Source organism: Homo sapiens, chromosome 7 (genome assembly GCF_000001405.40).
Source record: "Homo sapiens chromosome 7, GRCh38.p14 Primary Assembly".
Taxonomy (NCBI): domain Eukaryota; kingdom Metazoa; phylum Chordata; class Mammalia; order Primates; family Hominidae; genus Homo; species Homo sapiens.
Genome location: NC_000007.14, coordinates 24,319,619 through 24,339,863, shown reverse-complemented (window position 1 = coordinate 24,339,863; position 20,245 = coordinate 24,319,619). Strand labels below are relative to the sequence as shown.

The 20,245-nt window shown below is 40.4% G+C and overlaps 1 long non-coding RNA gene across 14 annotated transcripts in view, besides 2 other annotated features; it reads left to right on the top strand.

Annotated features, from left to right (window-relative positions):
• Positions 1 to 20,245, top strand: part of LOC107986777 (uncharacterized) — a 303,857-nt gene that overhangs the window by 105,275 nt on the left and 178,337 nt on the right. The gene's annotated exons all lie outside the window — the stretch shown is intronic.
• Positions 13,762 to 13,972: a silencer, noted in NCBI's record as "fragment chr7:24365511-24365721 (GRCh37/hg19 assembly coordinates)". NCBI's record gives its function as "represses an EF-1alpha promoter that drives an FKBP-Casp9 reporter gene in an ReSE screen in K562 erythroleukemia cells {active_cell/tissue: K562}" and the evidence as "EXISTENCE:reporter gene assay evidence [ECO:0000049][PMID:32094911]".
• Positions 13,866 to 13,935: an enhancer, noted in NCBI's record as "active region_25740". NCBI's record gives its function as "activates an Ori minimal core promoter by ATAC-STARR-seq in GM12878 lymphoblastoid cells {active_cell/tissue: GM12878}" and the evidence as "EXISTENCE:reporter gene assay evidence [ECO:0000049][PMID:35858748]".

Here is a 20,245-nt window from a genome sequence, read left to right as displayed (position 1 = left end):
AGTGCTATGAGGTTGCAAGGGAAGACCACCAATAAGGTAACGTCTGAGCAGAGTCCCGACAGGTGAAGCACTCAGGAAGAGTATTTCAGGCACAGGGATCAGCAGTGCAAAGGCCCTGAGGTGAGAGCATGTTTGAGAAACAGGAAAGAGGCTGCCTTGCCTGGTGCTGAGTGAGCACGGTTAAGCAGATCAGAAATGAGATCAGAGAGAGGGCAGTATACAAGAGATCCGGTAGACCAGTGAAAGGATTTTGGCTTTTACTCTTTTATTTATCCAATTAATTGAGCACTCATGTGTTTATATTAGCAGAAAGTCAGTTATCTCACCTTTGAGACCTCTTTTCCACCCCAAATTGTTAACACTTGAAGTTTTATTTAAAAGAGGTTAGTTTTGCTTCTGTGTGCCAGGAGAAAGAGGTCACTCTGGTCAGTCTATTACCATTGTGGCTTTAGTTGTTCCCACGTGGGATTATTATGGAACCCTTGTCATGCACAGCCAGGTGGATGCTTTTCTGCTGTTATGGCCACGCCTCAGCTGGTCCAAATCCCTGCCCAGGCCATAGTGGGACCCTAAACTGGAGCTAAAGGATCACAGGTTTTATATGTCATCAGCTCAGCCCGTTAGTAAGCCCTTGTTAGTAAAGCTTGGCTACCTTACCAACGGGCTGGACTTGGAGTGGCCTCTCACCATAGCCGCACACTGCAATAGCTGCTACACTGCCCACAGTGGCCCTAGACCCCAGCAGAAGCTCAGCAGAACTTCTATCCAGTGCTGTAGCACAACACACCTTTATGAGCCAAATTCAACCATATGTGTTCAGCACGGAGGCGCACCCTGTGAATGTTAAACTATGTCTTCGGGTGACTTCACCTCTAGACGCAGAAGAGGAGGCTGGCATGCTATTTAGATTCCATCTCACCAGGCATCTCAGGCTTATTCCTTCCATGTGATGCAGGAATTGTCTGCTTGACAATTGTGTAATTGACAGTAGGAATCTGTCTGATTTACCTAAGAAACCTCCCCAGCACCCAGTTCAGTAAATGGCACTCAGAAGGCATTTGTGGAATGAAATCTGCTATCTTTTAAATGACCAATTCAATCTTCTTCATTCGTTATGAAGTGTTTAAAAATGGGCTACCAGTGAGGAAATGATTTTCCTATTCCACTTCCACCAGCTGGTATTTGTGCACTGACTGGAGTACAACTGTGCTTTCACATTTTATTCAAACGGACTCTGCTACACCAGATGCTCTTGCATTTCTGCTGGCTGGTCAAGAGATGGCCTTGCAAATGGGCCAGGAAGCGAGGGAGGAAGAAGACCAAGGGGAGGCGGTGGTGAACTTGTATTTTGCTAGGGGAAGAGCTATGAATGAGAAGGGAGGGGAGGCAGTGCATAGCAGGGTAGTGGAGGTGTCTTCCCAAAACTGTCTCCTTCCAAGAACCTGCCCCCCAGAGACAAAGAGGCAGAGTGAGATCAGGGCTGGGAAAATCACCGTCGCCTTTTGAGGATTTAGTTGTGCCATTTCATTTCTCTTTCTCTCTCTCTCTTTTTTTTTTTTTTTTTACTCATACAAAATGTTATATATTTATGGGGTACATGTGAATATTTGTTACATGCATAGAATGTGTGATGATCAAGTCAGAGCATTTGGGGTGTCCATCACCTTGAGTGTTTATCATTTTTATGTGTTGGGAGCATTTCAAGCCCTCTCTTCTTGCTACTCGAAAACATATATTACATTGTTGCAGACTGTAGTTATCCTACTCTGCTATCAAATATTGGGGTTATTTCTTCTATCTAACTTCCATCTAACACACTAACCAACCTCTCTTCATCCTTCCCCACTGACTCACACACGCTTCCCAGCCTCTAGTATTTATCATTGTATTCTCTATCTCCATGCGATCATTTTTTTAAACTTGCACATAGTGAGAATTTGCAGCATTTGTCTTTCTGTGCCTGGCTTTTTTCTCTTAACATAACAACCACCAGTTCCATCCATGTTGCTGCAAATGACAGTATTTCATTCTTTTTTATGGTCAAATAGTATTCCATTGTGCATATATACCACTTTTTCTTTATCCATTTGTCCGTAGATGGACTTCTTGAATTCAATTAGCTGGAAGGTTTCCTAAATGGCTCCATTTCCACCTCCCTCCAGAGAGTCAGGGAAAAGTGGCCGTCAGAACTCAAAAGAAGATAGATCTCAGAGGAGAAAGCATTCTCTTCCACAGTCCGCTTGGGGCTGCGATTATTTCTTTTGAGAGCCCTGAAAACTTAGCTTTATCTACTGTGTGACTTTCTCTTTAAGCTGTACCTGGCGCTCCATTAATTAGCAAGTCTCTTAGTTAAACGCGACTCAGTCTTCATGCTTGGGCTTGTGATCCACAGTGAAGTCAAATGCTGAATCCAGTGCCTTCTCGCTATTTCCATGGCAACCAGCCACAGTCATCCTGGTGGAAGTTTGTGCCTTCATTCTAGACTCCTGGGATAGAGAGGCAGGGTGAGGAGAGAGACAAGCTCTATTCAAATACAAATATCCTGAACAATAGCTCCACAAATGACTCTGTGAAGTGGATTGATTTGCAGAACACCTACTTACTTAGATCCAGCACAACTGCCTGCCTTCCTCACTCGATGTCCGCTCATATTTCCATACATCATTTAAAGGGATATTTTTTATTTATGTCTTTAGATTAAGTCTCATTTTAGAAGTCTGTTTCTGGTAAAGAAGTCAGAGTTACGCTAATCTTCTTGACATTCAGCTTAATTTAAAATTAATCTCTTTTCTTAATTGTTCATATCTTTTCACTATCAACCCCTTCCTCCCCCAAGTAAAGCACATTGACTACACCAATTATTTGGCTCCTAGGACAGTAGTCAAGTAGAGACCACACCAGGGACTGTGCATGTGATTCTAGTCTAACTTGCCAAGTTAGAGCCGGTCCAGAATCTGAGGATGGTTCTTGTCATCCCAGATACTGTGGGAAAATTGCCCTTTGGACATTTTCTGAGGTGCTGCTGTTGAAGCTGAAGACCCCAGGACACTCTGAATGAACTTTGTAACATGTATGGGTGACTAAGTACGCGACTCCTGCTGTACCCATCTTTCTTGCTCTCAGCAATCAAGTTTTGACTCATGGCAATTGAGATGGAGCTTTCCGCGAAGTCGACACCTGATAGGAAAAACAAACCGACACTTGCCTTGTCGTTCCATCATCAAGTTCAGATTGCCGCCTCCCTCCACTGAGTCATTGTGTGAGAAGGAGGACTCTTTGAACTGGCATTTAGGGGATAGTTTCAGGATCATATTTCTCAGCCATTAGCTCCAATCTGTCATGGGGAGTGCAAAGCTCAGTTCCCAGTTGGCAGTGCTGAGACACCCCATACTCTCTCCTGTTTGTCATCCTTGTCTTTCTTCAACTTACTCCTTCCTCTCCACACTATTTCTTTTTTCTTTTTCTTCTTTTCTTTGAGACAGAGTCTCACTCTGTTGCCCAAGCTGGAGTGCAGTGGTGCAATCTCAGCTCACTGCACCCTCTGCCTCCCAGGTTCAAGCAATTCTCACGCCTTAGCCCTGCCAAGTAGCTGGGATTACAGGCACCCACCACCATACCTGGCTAATTTTTATATTTTTAGTAAAGATAGGGTTTCGCCATGTTGGCCAGGCTGGTCCTGAATTCTTGACCTCAAGTGATCTGCCTGCCTTGGTCTCCACACTGTTTCTGAATGACTATACATGAGTGATGAGGACACAGCTGTAGAGGTAGGACAATTGCTATGTCATTGATGAATGTAACCTCCATCCAGACAGGAGATATCATATATGGTCTTTGGCCACCACGACACACTGGGACTCATTATCGGACTTTAATAATCAGAATTTCAGAATGTAGAAGAAGTGGCCTCTCCTTAGTGTTAGTTCTTGCTGGTTCCTGAAGTGAGGAAATATATTGCCTTGGTACAAGTTTGTCCAGAGCTGACTTATCCATTTGGTGCAATACACAGAGTGCCCAAGGCTCACGATGTTATTAGTGGTCCATGAAGAGGTTTTAATTTCTTTTAAAGTCAGAAGAAAAAAAATACAGTCCAGCTTGAATTATACTCATCTTTAAGCCTGTGTAGTTAGTCATGAAATACCATTTAAAATATTTTTTATGGAAGAAAGGGCCCATGATGGCAAAAGTGGCTAGAGTCCCCAAAAGTCATAGTGCAGCCCTTGTGTCTGTCATTTCTAGTTGTAAATCCATTTGAACAACAAATGACACACATGATGATGACAATTTAAGATGTTATGCCGAGGCAGGTGGATCATCTGAGGTCAGGAGTTCAAGACCAGCCTGACCAACATGGTGAAACCCTGTCTCTACTAAATAAAAAAAAAAAAAATTAGCTGGGCGTGGTGGCATATGCCTGTAATCCCAGCTACTTGGGTGGCTGAGGCAGGAAAATAGCTTAAACCCAGGATGCAGAGGTTGCAGTGAGCTGAGATCCTGCCATTGCACTCCAGCCTGGGCAACAAGAGCGAAACTCCATCTCAAAAAAAAAAAAAAAGGATGTTAATGACACAGCATGCAACAGGAGTTTTTAGAACTAGCAGTCAGGATTGGGTGTCAAGCTACTTGTCCTTTTAAATGGTGTAGAGTGTGTGTGTGTGTGTGTGTGTGTGTGTGTGTTTGTGTGTGTGTATGTGTGTTTGATTCACTGAAGGTCTTCTACAAGTCTGCCTTCCCACATCCCTGTCCTTGGTCAAGTAGCTTTCTTCTAAAATCTTTCTGAAAATTTAAGAATTGTCCATTATTTCTTGAGGCACTCAGGAAACTAACTTGGTCATTTCTCATTATGAAACAGTTCATGTTCCCAGTTCCTTGGAAAGGCTGGAAGGATGCTTTTGAAAGCTGGCTATTTTAGCCAGGAGCGTTAATCATGCTGATTCTGCTGTCAACTGAGGTTATACCATCTGATCTTCCATTTCCCTTGTCACAATCATTTATGCTCTACCTCTTGACATGACACATAAGTCCCTTTTTATTCTATTACATATTAAATACACCAAATACATGAACAACTCTTTGTTATCTAGTAAAATAGAATATAATGTGGGTCCATCTCGGCATCTTAAAAGCATCTAGCTACCCGAAGTGCCTAAAGGACCTGCCAGATACTTTTACCTGTAGGGCAATGAGGAAGCACAAATTCCACAATGGCTACATAATAAGGTTACAAGAACATAAAAACGTTAAATTATGGGTTTTTGTTATTGCTGTTGTTATTTTGTTTTTTTGCAAGGGGAAGATTCTTGAAGATTGAGTCTACCCTGTATATGGAAGAAAGGAAACCAGTCGTCATTGACTACTTCTCTGTGCCAGCTTCTACGCTGGGTTCTTCAACAGATTATCTTTGAGCCTCATAATCTACCTGTTGTCTTTATGTTACAGGTAGGGGAACCAGGAGACAGTTAACTACCTTGCTGTAAGTCACATAGCTAATATTTAGTAGAAATAGGATTCAGACCCAGGTTCGTGTGATGCTCCTCCTTCTCTACACCCTGGATCAGCAAACTTGTTCAGTAAAAGGCCAAACAGCAGCTGCTCACACTGCCATTATAGCATGACAGCAGCCATAGACACGTTGTGAACAAATGGACAGGGGTGTGTGCTTGTAAAAGTTTATTTACAAATGTAGGTAACAGCTGGACTTGGCCCATGGTGGGTAGTTTGCTATGCTCTGCTTTTTGCTATAGGATTTCAACCCTGGCTGCCATTGGAATCACTGAGAAGCTTTGAAAACTCTTGGTACACAGGCCTCATCCCATATCAATTAAATTAGAGTAATTTTTAAAGAAGCCTTCCTGGGTGATTCCTACAAGCAGCCACAGTTGAGAACCCCTGCTCTACAGCTCATTTATGAATCAAAGCAGCCAAGTTAGAGATACACACAGACACACACACATAAAACCAATGAAATTTACAGCTAACCCTCTCCATGTATCCAAATCTTGTTCCATCAGTAGCCAACCAAAATCCTACCTTCTCAATTACACCTTGCTTGTCTTGATCAGAAAAGTTGAGACCTCCCTTATCTGATTTTTACTGACATTGTGTTGCAGAATTAGCCCTATTGCAACGTATTTTGTATAATTCAATGGTTATTCAAATCTTCTACTACTATTTAAATCTTCTACCATTATTTAGACATGTGGGCAAACCTTCTCTTCTCACACAGTCTGCAAACTGTGGGTGTATAGCTTACTACACAAGATCTAGCTTAAGGACAGCTACAAGGTAGTGCTTGTAGGTGCAAGGAACTTTCTTGAGAAGGACATAAATGAAAATGTTGGGGGTTTGAAAATAGATTTTAACATAGTTTGGTAGAATTCAGTAATCTTTGTGATCTCTCCCTTCTCCCCCAATCTGCTCCCCCTTCCATCTTCCCCAACTTCGTTAGTATCAACTCCATCCTTAAAGATCTTAGAATTGAGCCTTACTTTTCTCCTTTCTCTTACATCTACATCAAAATCAGAGAGGATAAATGAGCAGTTCTGTCTTTACCGTATACACAAAATCTGACCATTATTTAACACGTGCCCTGCTACTAGCCTGGCCGAGGTCATCACTTCTCACCTGGATTATTGCAAAACCTTCTAAAATGCTCTCCCTTCGTCTGCCCTGGCACCCTATTCTGCCTATTCTCAGCACAGCATCCAGAATGATATTGTTTAAAAAAGTTTAACTCTGCTCTAAATGTTCCAATGGCTTTTTATTTCACTCAAAGTGAAAACCAAAGTCCTGAAAAAATATGCCATTATTTATCTGACCTCATCTCCTACTACTCTCCCCATTGCAGCTCTCCCAGTGTCAACACTGGTGGACTCCTTGCTAATCCTTGAACATGCCAGATGTGTTCCCACCCCAGGGCCTTTGCACATGCTGTTTCTGTTTGCCTGACTGCTCAACTCCTTGGTATCTATATGGTGACCTCTCTCACTTCCTTCAAGTTTTTGTTCAAAGTCACCCAGTGGAGCCTTCATGACCTCTAACACTGAATCTCCTTTTCTCCTCAGATATACCCTACTTCTCCTTTGTGCTTTGTATCTCTCCATAATGCTTCTTGCCTTCTGACTTACTGTGTAACTTACTTGCTTGTTTTGTTTATTGACTATCTCCCCTACTTTGAAGGTAAGCTCCATGAAGGCAGGATGCTTGCCTTTTTAAAACCTGTATCTAGTGCCTAGGGAGATGCCTAGCACATTACAAAGGACATCTGTCATTGAGTAAAGGATAGGCTTTCAGCCTGCTAGGCAGTTTCCTTAGAATACATATGTTGGTGACATGGTTTTGCTGTGTCCCCACCCAAATCTCACCTTGCATTGTAATAATCTCCATGTGTCAAGGGTGGGGCCAGGTGAAGATAATTGAATCATGGGAGTGGTTTCCCCCAAACTGTTCCCATGGTAGTGAATAAGTCTCATGAGATCTGATGGTTTTATAAATAGGAGTTCCCTGGCAGAAGGTCTCTTGCCTGCTGCCATGTAAGACATGCCTTTGCTTCTCCTTTGCCTTCCACCATGATTGTGAGGCCTCCCCAGCCATGTGGAACTGTGAGTCCATTAAATCTCTTTACTTTATAAATTACTCAGTCTCAGGTATGTCTTTATTAGCAGTGTGAGAACAGACTAATACAGTTACTATGATGGGCATCTCTGGTTCTGGTCCATCAGGACCCATTCACTTCTCTTATGGTGATAGGATACTTGTATTCCATAAGAGACCCTGTTATTTGAATTCATCAAGCAGTTTCCTCCCCAATTCCAGCTCCAAGCACGGGCCTGCATGAGTCTGGCTTTGAATGCTCTGTCTCCTTTGAATGCACTGAATAGTTATTACAGTGGTTGGTTTTGAATTGAGAATGTCCAACCTAGGTGAATCCAAATATCGCTTGTGACCTCTCTGAGAGAGATTTTAAAACATTATTTTCCCATTGGGGTTGCTAAATCGGTAGAATGAGGGGGCTGGCGTCATTTTCACCATGTAGCAAGAACCCATTCGAAAGACAGAGATAAATAGGATTTAAACACTATTGTTTGGACTTTACTCACACATTTCTAAAACTAAATCTTCCCTGGATATTTCATCTGTGTTAACTCAATACATTGCTGTTATTATTTAAGCTTGGGTTTCTGTTACTTGAAACTGAAAGAGTCCTGGGAAAAAAAATCTGGTATGAAAAGACTAAATTTCATTGCTAAAAATCTTTTTATTTTTACTTTTTCCAAAGACTGATTACTTTAAGAAACTGAGGTAATACAATAAAAACAGAATACACATGCAATTTATGAAGAGATGTTACAGAGGCTGCTTTTTATTGTTTGGTAGAGAATAGTGTCTAATTTTTTATAATTAACTCAGTCAACATATTTAGCACTATTAAATTTTTATTGAGCTTTAAATTAGCAAATTAATGCATGATATGAGTTAGATTCTGTAGTCCTAAATAAGGAAAGACATCAGGGACCTCCTTATGCTAGGTTAATTACAAAATAAATGGCAGAAAGGGCTTCAACTTTAATGCAGTCTCTCACCTTAGTATCCCCCTTGCATAGTGCCTGCCACACGGTTGATATTCAGTAAATTGTTGATGAGTGAATCAAAGAATAATTGAGTGATTGAAATAGCAAGTTGTTCTTAGCATTCTATTGGGTCATAGACTTGGATGAAAACTCTTCCCAGAAAAATGCATACCCTCATGCACATCACACACACACACACACACACACATAAACACACACACACACATTTGCATAAAATGTCTGGATTTTGCAGTGTCCTTGAAGCACTCATAAACTTGGAAGGTGTCCCTAGATCCCAGGTTAAGAAGTGCTTTGAATGATCCCCCTGCAATATATGGCCTAGGCAGTATTTCCATCTAGAATTTTAGTACTGAGAAGGTGCAAAACCTTATTATAAACATGGACTGTTGAGGCAGGTTATTGCATTGGTGGTTCAATGGCTAAGTGGTTTTGGAATTAAATGTGGATTGCCTTGGCCAATACATGTGTGTACAACCTTGGGTAATTTAGTTAACCTCTTTAAGTTTGCATCAATTTCCAAATATATAAAATGAAAATAATAAGTCAATCTCCTTCATGTGACTTAATTAAATACTGCACATAGAACAATTAGCACAGTTCCTGTTATTCAATAAGTGATAGCTGATGATGGTGTTAAAGCCACTTATAAAAGGCAATATTTTAAGTAGAGTGAACTCATGTTGTCTAGCTCAAGTGGGAATATTGCCAGCCAACAGGGAGATAACTATGGGCTCTTTCATGGCTTCTTTGGGTTTAATTATTTGTGACATGAAGTTATATTTTCTAATCATTATAAAAAGTTGATTTTATTGCCTATAGGATAAAAGTGATAATCACTCTATCTAGTCATCAAGACCTTTATGTAAGTAGAAACCCATGAACCAGCTAAGGCTTAAAATTTAAAAATAAATTTAGTTAAAAATTGATAGAGTTGGCCAGGTGCAGTGGCTCAGGCCTGTAATCCCAGCACTTTGGGAGGCAGAGGCGAGCTAATCACCTGAGGTAAGGAGTTCGAGACCAGCCTGGCCAACATGGTGAAACCCCCTCTATACTAAAAATACAAAAATTAGCCAGGCGTGCTGGCAGGCACCTGTAATCCCAGCTACTTGGGAGGCTGAGGCAGGAGATTCACTTGAACCTGGGAGGCGGAGATTGCAGTGAGCTGAGATCATGCCATTGCACTCCAGCCTGGGCAACAAAAGCAAAACTCCATCTCAAAAAAATAAAATAAAATAAAATAAAGTTGAGTCACCTTATGAAAGACCCAGCCAGAGTTGCCATCACTCAATTTCTAGGCTTTCTCTTTCATGATTGTTGAGAGATTATATATTGGTAATAAACTGGTTATATTAATTGTTCAAAGCACAAGAACTTCTTCATCCTCTTGGACAAGTTTCCTAATTAAAAAAAGATGCTTTTACATCATTAAAAGGAGTATGTAAAAATTCATGAATAAACAATGAGGCAATTTCAACATGTTCATTGGTCAGTTAGAAAACATTATTAATTATTTGCTCTGTGCTGCCCTTCTTTTCCATTATTGATTCATTCCCCATAATATTTATAGAGGATCTGTTATGTGCCAGGAGCTGTTCCAGGTTTGGAGGGCCAAGAGATACTTGTACCTGGGGTCAAAAGAGTGTTATAATAGACTAGACTCTCCATTACTACCTTCAGTCTATAAGCCAATCAGTACCTAATGATTTTCTTCCTGCAGTGTTACTGATGGTAAAGAAGAAATGTCCCTATGTTAGGGCTCAGCACTGAAGCTAAGTGAAAACGACCTGCTCCTCATTCTCTCCACCTTATGTGGCCTTGCTCTAAATCAGGGCTCTCCAACTCAAATGCCTTCAGAAGCCACAGAATAGCTTAAATGTGGAAATGCTGGGTTTAGAAAGACAGTGAGCTGCACTTGGAGGGCTCTGAGCATCGTCTAGAGACATTGATTCTGTTTTTAAAAACATGATGCTTGCTTGAGCAAACTCATTCAGTTTCTAAATGCTCCTCTCAATGAAACCCCAAAGGGAGAGGCACTGAAACAGGCATGGGCAAAATTTTTCTGTCAAGGGCCAGGTCACAAAGATTTTCGGCTTTGCAGGCCATACAGTGTCTGTCACAACTACTCAACTCTGCTGTTGCAGCTCAAAAGCAGCCCTAGGCATACATACACAAATATGCATGGCTGTACTCCCATGAAATTTAGCCGCCCATAGCTGGCCAACTTAGCATTCTGAGAGCCAAGCAGTTCCTTGCACATATCAGGTGCTCAGGAAACATTGGTAGATTCCATGTAGTAGAAGGTGTATTCCTCATGACCAAGCTGGTGCTCAGAGCTCAATCCTCCCCTCCCCAGAAAAGGGCTGAAGATGAACATCTCTCACTTAGAAGAATTTCTTTCTCTGGGCAAAATCCAGGGTTGAACTAGATGAGCCCTGAAGTTCCTTCTATGTTTAAAAAACTTGAGGAAAAGACAGAAGGCAGAAAATAAAGTTCCTTGAAGGTATACTCTGTCCCAGCTCCCAACTGCAAATTTAAGCAGATTAGGAAACTCCACGTATCTATGTTTTGCACAACATGTAAGACATAGTTATTTTACTGACTTGGAGGCTAGAGATGATTTTGCCTCCTGTGAAGACACCATCAAGCCACCTTGGGTAAAAAGTGCTGTGCCTGCCAGGCACAGTGGCTCACACCTGTAATCCCAGCACTTTGGGAGGCCGAGGTGGGTGGATCACCTGAGGTGAGGAGTTTGAGACCAGCCTGGCCAACATGGTAAAACCCCACCTCTACTAAAAATACAAAAATTAGCTGGGCATGATTGTGGGTGCCTGTAATCCCAGCTACTCAGGAGGCTGAGGCACAAGAATCACTTGAACCTGGAGGGTAGAGGTTGCAGTAAGCCGAGATTGCACCACTGCACTCCAGCCTGCGTGACAGAGTGAGACTTTGTCTCAAAAAAAAAAAAAAAGTGCTATTTCATTCCCAGTGTAATAGCTTAAACCACTTGAACTGTCAGCTGCTTCCCAAATAGAATGTAAAATGATTCCCTAAGCAAATCACTCATCGTTACTTCTGACTTCCATCAAATAAAGTGAGTAGTTGTTACACCATCTAGATTCGTTCCTATTGCGAAATATCCACAACACAGCCTGATCAAGCCATGTTTAGAGAGTTTAGATTTGTAGAGAATAGACAAAATGCCTCATGTCCTTTTCAGGGAGAAAAAGACAAGAGAGAAAATCCAAATGAAAAGGCCCAGAATCCTCTGATTACAGAAGCCAAAATAACCAAAAGGTGATTCATAGCAACTGTTATTACAAATAAGAGTCTGGGTCTGTTTTAGAAAGTTGTTAAAAGCAGAGAAGGTGGCCTAAGTGCTTTTTACAAATTATGCTTCCTTTTTATTTTCCTACATATAGCACTCATGGAAAAAAAAAAAAAACTCATAAACAGGAGCAGCCCGGTCTGTTTGCTTGGCCAAGGGCTCTTCAAAACTTATAGAAGGAATAGGAACAGCATTTGAGAGGGAAATGAGGTAAGAAGACTTGAAAGTACACTATTTTCATCCAGTCCATTCTCTGTGTTTTATAGTTACTGGGTGAAAGGGTTAGGTGAGGATCTTCCTATTCTACAGGTGGGTTGTTCAGAGGAAGTATGGTAGAAACAAGTGCTGCAGTCATACTGCCTGGACTGAAAACCAGTCCTTCGCCCATATCCTTGGGCAAGGTACTGATGTGCTCTATGCCTCAGTTTCCTCATCTGTAAACTTGAAAGCAACAATAAAACATGTCACATAGAGTTCATGTATGGATTAAGTGATATACAATTCAGCAATCATGGAGCCTGGCATATGTAATAAGTGTTAGTAAATGTCAGCTGTGGTCCTGTGGCTAGAATTTTGTTGATGAATAAGATGCATAATCATTTCAAGAGACTTTTATTAATTTACATCTTGCTTTCCCACTTCTGGGGACAAAGATCCTTTAAAATTTTATACTTTAATTTGTGATACATATAAGGTTAATTTTTCTTTTTGGTCAACCAATAAGAAAACCCAGTAATACAAATTTATATTCTATTTCAAATTCTCATGATGCTACCAGGGTCAGAAATGTCATGTTTCAACAAGGTGGCTTAGACAGGAGATGACAATTTGATTAAAAACTTTCACTAGAAAAATTGCCCTGTAACTTTGGGTCCCTAAAGCACAAGCAGAATAAAGCAGATGGTGACCGCCCTATAACAAATATAAATGACATAATTGTTTACTTGGTACAATTTAAATTCAGCCGTTAAACTTCATACAGTCAATTTTGGTAACTGATCCCCTCTGATCAAAGATTAAGTGCCTTGAGGCAAAAAAAAAATTGTTTTGACATTGTGAGATCAATAAGTGCTGGAAGCCACTAAACTGGAAGCTAGTGACACGGCCCTGAGTGTATTTTACAACGTAGATTTAGATTTCAGTACAAAGTCTATTGCCATTGTTTAAAATATATGAAAGAAGTTAATATCAGCATGTGAGAAATCATAAGTGTGATTTCATTTTATTCTTTTGTCTGGTTTTGGGATAAAATTTATCTGCTAAATAATTCTTCTAAAAAGGTCAAATTGAATTAAGAGTAAGGTTTTAAAAATGCTTTTCTAAAACATTGGTCATTTAATTGTTTCACTTCTACTAAAAGCTCTTGAATATGAGCACTCATTTAATTCTGTAAATTACTGAACCCAAGTGCTTTCGTTATGTAGCCAAAGCCCACGTGCGTCTAAGTTTTTCATTTAGAGACAGGCATTGATTTTCAACATTGCGCATCCCTCTCCAGGCACCTTGCCTTTGCAGGGGTGTGAGCACTGTTACTATTTCACACAACCATATGTGGCTTAGGCCCTGACTAAGAGATTTCTGGATTTAAAATGCTATTCTTTTCTTGTGGTGATGAGTGTGTTGAGAGACCAACCATCTTTACCTTCCTTTCAGGTCAAGGATAATGGCAGGTCTTCTAACCTCCCCAAAATCAGATCATTAGGTTCTCAACTTTCCACTCTCGTGGCTGCTACAGTTGCCCACATCTCTTTCAAAGAAGTTTTACTGAGGGCACTAGGCAAGCACACCTAGGAGGCATTCCTCAGTACATCCCTGGTTTTAATTTTGTAGCTTCCTGTAATGGAGGACAAGCCCACTAACTCCTTACTTAAGGGTAGTTCTCTTCCCACCTAAGGGTTGCTGTTCAGGAGGGGCGATGGAGGAGCACTGACTTCTCCTTAGCATTTTAAAATATTAGGGCACTGTAAAATCCCAGCTTCCTGTTGACCTCGTCTCTTCAGAACCTCATCAGGCACAGACGCAATGATGCATAGTACCTACAAATAATGGCACTGTAAAATCCCAGCTTCCTGTTGACCTCGTCTCTTCAGAACCTCATCAGGCACAGATGCAATGATGCATAGTACCTACAAATAATAGGTGCAGGCACCCAGTAATTCCCCAAGGTAGACATGTAGTTAAACTAACCAACCTGCCTGGATTGTAATAGACACTCCAATGCCGAAATGGACTACTCTGAATCCCCCAAGATAACAGATTGTAATCCACCTCCTTTTGAATAATTGTCCTCCTCTAAACATTTGAACTTTCCGATCTCAGGTATCAGAAGTGTGCGTATTTTTTACTCCTTTTTTGGGGGTGGGTGGGTGGGTGGGGGATGGAGTCTTGCTCTGTCGCCCAGGCTGGAGTACAGTGGTGGGATCTCGGCTCACTGCAACCTCAGCCTCCCGGATTCAAGCGATTTTCCTGCCTCAGCCCCCTGAGTAGCTGAGATTACAGGCATGCCATGCTCAGCTAATTTTTGTATTTTTAGTAGAGATGGGGTTTCACCATGTTGGTCAGGCTGATCTCAAACTCTTGACCTTGTCATCTGCCTGCCTAGAACTCCCAAGACTTTTTTGTAAAAAAAAAAAAATGTGGTACTACTAAACAGACGTCATACCCATGTTTAAACAAATTCTATTCTGAGGAACTGGAGAAAGAGAGAGAGACAGAGAGAGACTAATATTTCCTCCACTTACTGAGTGGAAGCCCTGGAGTCAGAAGGAGAGAGGAGCACCTACTATTCACTCAATATTTTTGCTTTGTTCTCTAACAGTGGGAGCATCTTGCCACACTAAGCATGATTCTAGTATTTACAAGATGCATATTTTTCTTTAACATAGCTACTAAAATTGAGCCAACCACTTCATTGATGCTCTACTAAAGAGATTGCAATTTGTTCCACCACTGTAAGAAAAGCTAGTGTTGGGGACCTTACTGAGAGACTGAGATGGCTTCCAATGCAGCTCTTTGCTAAAGGGTTTTTAAGGGTAATGATGACTAGAGAGAATGTTCACTTTATATTGTCTTTAGAATGGAACTATTGGCTGGGTGTGGTGGTGCACGCCTGTAAACCTAGCACTTTGGGAGGCTGAGGTGGGCGGATTGCCTGAGCTCAGGAGTTCGAGACCAGCCTGGGCAACATGGTGAAACCCCATCTCTACTAAAATACAAAAAATTAGCTAGGTGTGGTGGCCTGCGCCTGTAGTCCCAGCTACTCGGGAGGCTGAGGCAAGAGAACTGCTTGAACCCAGGAGGTAGAGGTTGCAGTGAGCTGAGATCTCACCACCACTGCACTCTAGCCTGGGCGAGAGAGCAAGCCTCTGTCTCAAAAAAAAAAAAAAGAAAAGAAAATAGAATGGAACTGTTGCACAAGATGCTTCTCTCTCGTATTTTTCTCTGTAGCTAGTTTTCATAAGCTGAGCCTGAATGTATTCACTACTCAACTTATTCAAAGGGTTTCTTTACTTACTTGGGCTCCAAATGGCACACTTCTCATGAGTTGCATTAGAGACAGAGAAACCAGATACTCCATATTAATAACATTATAGTTTTTTTTGGTCTACAGATTCGGTTTTATCTGCAGGAGCATCTCCCATGAGAGTTGAGGAAATTCATAACTGGTTGAACAGCTGTTGGCATTGATCAATGTACTTCCGGATGGACACGGCCCTGGCTTGTTTGGCATTTACATCCATGCCTTGGCTGAAAGTTTAGAGGGCACAGTGATTTCATTTGTGGATGACAAGAGCCTGGAAAGGATAGCAAATTCATTGGCTGATAGAATTAAGACCAAAAAGACTGACAGGCTGGAGCAATGGGATAAATCTAACAAGATGGATTTTATCAGCAATAGAAAGAAGATCCTGCACTTAGGTAAAACAAACCAGGACTCAGGGCATATTCTTAGGAAATTATTCATATCAATCTTGAAGTCTGGGATAATTAAGTGCAGGTACCTGATGTGCATGTGGTAGTGATGGTGAGACGTGGTTTAGCAGAAGCAGTTTTGCAGAAGATTTGAGGGTTGATATGGCTGCCAAAATCCAGTGAGATCTTAGGTTATAGAATTAGAAATAACAGCAATTACCATGGTAATGGTGGGGATTGGGGCAGTGAAAAGAAAAAGTGGGAAGGAAGAGGTCAGGAATGTCTTTCATTTTAGGAAAGATCTTCTCCATCATTTAGTGTAATATGTCCTCTAGTACCTTTCTGAGAATAAATGGAAGGAAAATTCAAGACATTTGATTTCTAAAAAATCATTATTCAACTTTCATGTTTGATTAGTAGGCTGAGGAGAAAATTTTAGGTTGGAAATGCTTTCTTTTAGAATTTTTATATATATATGTATTTTTTACTATACTTTAAGTTCTACGGTACATGTGCACAACGTGCGGGTTTGTTACATATGTATACATGTGCCATGTTGGTGTGCTGCACCCATTAACTCGTCATTTACATTAGGTATATCCCCTAATGCTATCCCTCCCCGCTCCGCCCACCCCACAACGGGCCCCGTTGAGAACATTTGGACACAGGAAGGGGAACATCTTTTAGAATCTTAAAACTATTCTAGCCATTATTTTCTGGCTTCCATAATTGCTGTTGAGAAGCTCAATGGCATCCTTGATCATTCATATTGTGAAAGTTGTCAGAATCAAAATGGAGTCACTGGTGCTGAAAAAGCCTGACAAATAGAGCCAGGCTCATTTTCCTTTAAAACACTTTGTCTTCTCTTACTTCCCTAAATACACATAGAGTTGACTATGACATGCATATTCCCATTGCAGTGCTGTACTCCTAAATATCTTTTTCTTTTAGAGGGCTTCTTTCTGTTTCTTATTTAGGTTGATAGTACAAAACCTGTTTTTCTCTCCGGAAGTTTCTTCTCTTTGTTCTAAGAGTTTTGAAAACACAGCGGCGTGCCTCATTCATTGTATTGGGCTCTCTAATGATTTCTCCAATATTGATACTCACATCCTTCAATTCTGAACGTTTTTCTTGAATTATTTTTTTGGCAATTTCTTTCCCCTCATTTTATCTTTCTGTAATTATTATTATCACTTTTTTCTGTTTTCTGTGTACCAGGAAGTCTTCTAACCATGGAACAAACAGTAACTCTTCTAATCTTCATTGCAGCTCTAATTTCCATTTCTTTAACTTTTTGCTCTATTTTGGGGAGCGATTCCAAACCTTATTTTTCATATTTTACTTTCTAGGAGCTTCTTTTTTGTGTTATCTGAATGATCTTTTTATTTCAAGTATTCTGTTATTATTTCATGAGTGCAATATATTTTCTGTACCTGAGGATAGCTTTTATTTGTTTTCAACTTTTTAAAATCTCTAATATCTGTTTCATCCCAGTTGCTTTTGGTCACTTTCTCATATTAGAGATTTTCCTCAAATAGCTAATGATTTTTGGCTAACACTTCATATGTAACATTGAGATATTGAGAAGCTAATTCAAAGCTCTCTTCATTCGACCTTACCATTGTGGTCTTCTTAGTAGGATGGTATGGCAGGGCTATTTCATTTGGGAAACAATTGGTATCAGTATCTTTAGGTCTTGTCTTCAGGCTGATTACATTCCCCAGAGAGGACACTTCTAGTTGCCTGACTAATAAGAATACATTTGGCTTCCAGCATTATCAGAACCTAGAGGAGAAACAGGGTATTTAGTATGTAAATTTTTTGGATATTGAATTCTTTTGTTTTCAATATATACCTCTGCCCTCAATTGTTTCATTTCTCTCAGTCTAGAGACCCTCTGATTTACCCGCTCCAGAAAATAAACTTTGAAACTTCATGGCTGGGGTTGGCAGTCACCTAGCTGCATCAAATTGGAGAGGGGATCCAGGAGTCTAACTGCTTCTCAAACGGAAACTAAATCAGTTCTGTTCTTTTCAGTTCCACTTTTCCTCCCATGTCCAGAGGCACCTGACAACACCAACTCCTAAGCTTCTTGGGGTTCTGCGATGTATACCAGACTGATCTTGGCTTTCCTACAACTTTCCAAAGTCTGCTAAGTTAGATGCCATTTCACTGTGTCGCTGCTGTTTCTTCTATTCTCTTTGTGGGTTTATGCCTTTAAAACAATCCATTTACTGTAATTTAGTGGAATTTGGCAAGAAAATCGAAGTTAAATCTGTCTGTTTAAGAAGAAGATCTGTGTACAGTTTTTATTGCAGCACTTTGGAAAGGCAAAAAACTAAATACCACAAGAAGGCACTTCAGTTAAATAAATTTTGGAATTCACTGTGGTTCATTCCCTACCTTGGAGTACTAGACAGTCGCTAGAATGAAGGTGTAATATCTATAACAGTTTATTTGAAGGATTTCCATCATATATTGTTAGGTGGAAAGTAAGGCCCAGATAAATGTATAAAATAGGATTCTACTTTATTTATCTATCTATTTATTTATTTATTTATTTGAGACAGAGTCTCTCTGTTGCCCAGGCTCGAGTGCAGTGGTACGATCTCAGCTCACTGCACCCTCCATCTCCTGGGTTCAAGCATTTCTCCTGCCTCAGCCTCCTGAGTAGCTGGGACCACAGGCGTATGCCACCATGCCCAGCTAATTTTTGTATTTTTAGTGGAGACGGGGTTTCACCATGTTGGCCAGGATGGTCTCAATCTCCTGACATCGTGATCTGCCCGCCTCGACCTCCCAAAATCTGAGATTACAGGCGTCAGCCACCATACCCGGCCAGGAATCTACTTTTTAAAAACAAATGACAAAATTTCTATAAATGTTAATATATATTTATAAGTTTAGTTTAAAATTGATTTCCCCATTTGGGGCAGGTGGGGCTGGGGAGAGGCTGAGGGAGTGAACACAGAATAAAAAGTAAAGACTAGAAGAAAACAAATGTGTTTATAATAAAAGCATATGTATAATGTTCTATTAGTATAGTTTTATTTACACATTTGCATATATATATAGAAAGATGTATAAATGCACAGTTACTGAAATATTAACAGTGATTTACTCTGGATAATAGAATTATTTTTGCATTTTTCCTTACATATTTTTGTACTAATTTCTCTTTTTTTGTGGTGAACTCACGTTATCTTAATAACGTAGAAAAAATTCTTTAAAAATATAAGGTCAAAGTGACCAGAAGAGGCTGGGCGTGGTGGCTCACTCATGTAATCTCAGCAGTTTGGGAGGCTGAGGCAAGCAGATCACCTGAGGTCAGGAGTTCAAGACCAGCCTGACCAACATGGCGAAACCCTATCTCTACTAAAAATACAAAAATTAGTTGGGCATAGTGGTGCATGCCCGCAGTCCCAGCTACTCAGGAAGCTGAGGTGGGAGAATCCTTTGAACCCGGGAGGTGGAGGTTGCAGTGAGCCGAGATAGCGCCACTGCACTTTAGCCTGGGCTGTGAGACTCCATCTCAAAAATAAAATAAAATAAAATAAAAACCAAAGTGACTAGAAGATAAAATGATTTACAAATTGAAATAGCAGAGTTTATTCCTAGCATAGTGGATAAGGACACAGCAATTGGAGTCAGAGAGATTTTATTTGAAATTCTGGCTGTAACATTAATAAGGCTATTTAGCTTGAGGCTTAAGAGCAAGGGTTGCCTGGGATTTCAATCCCAGCTCCACTGTTTACTGGGTGTGTGACTTTGCACCAGCCACTTAACCCTCTATACCTTAGTTTCCTCACCCAGGAAAATGAAGATAATGATACTACTTGCCTCATAAGATTGTAACAAAGATTAAAAGAGTTAACATTAGTTTAATGGTTAGAACAGCGCTATACACATGCTTGATTTCCCCCTCTTTCTTTGCCTTGTTTAGTTTTCATTTATAGATTTTTTGATATTTTATATTATTTTATTTTACCTCTTCTTTTAGCATTTCAACTATATACATTTTTTAAAACTTTTCCAGTGGTTGCCCTAGGGTTTGTAATATAAACTTTTAATTCATGTAAGTCCACTTGCAAATAATACCATTGTGCCTTTTCACATATAGTGCAAGTATCTTATTTAAAATATTTTCAATTCCTTCCTCCCATCCATTGTGACATTTGTTCTGCTTATCAATATGCTCTAATCACTCAGTACGTTATTACTACTATTGCTTTAACCAAAAAGTTATCTTTTAGATCAACCAATTCTCTGATGCTCCTCCTTTGTAGATCCAAGTTTTTGACCTATATCCTTTTCCTTCTGCATGAAGAACTTTTAATATTTCTTGCAGAACAAGTCTGCTAGTGAGAAATTCCCTCAGACTGTTTGTCCGAGAAAGTCTATTTCTCCTTCACTTTTG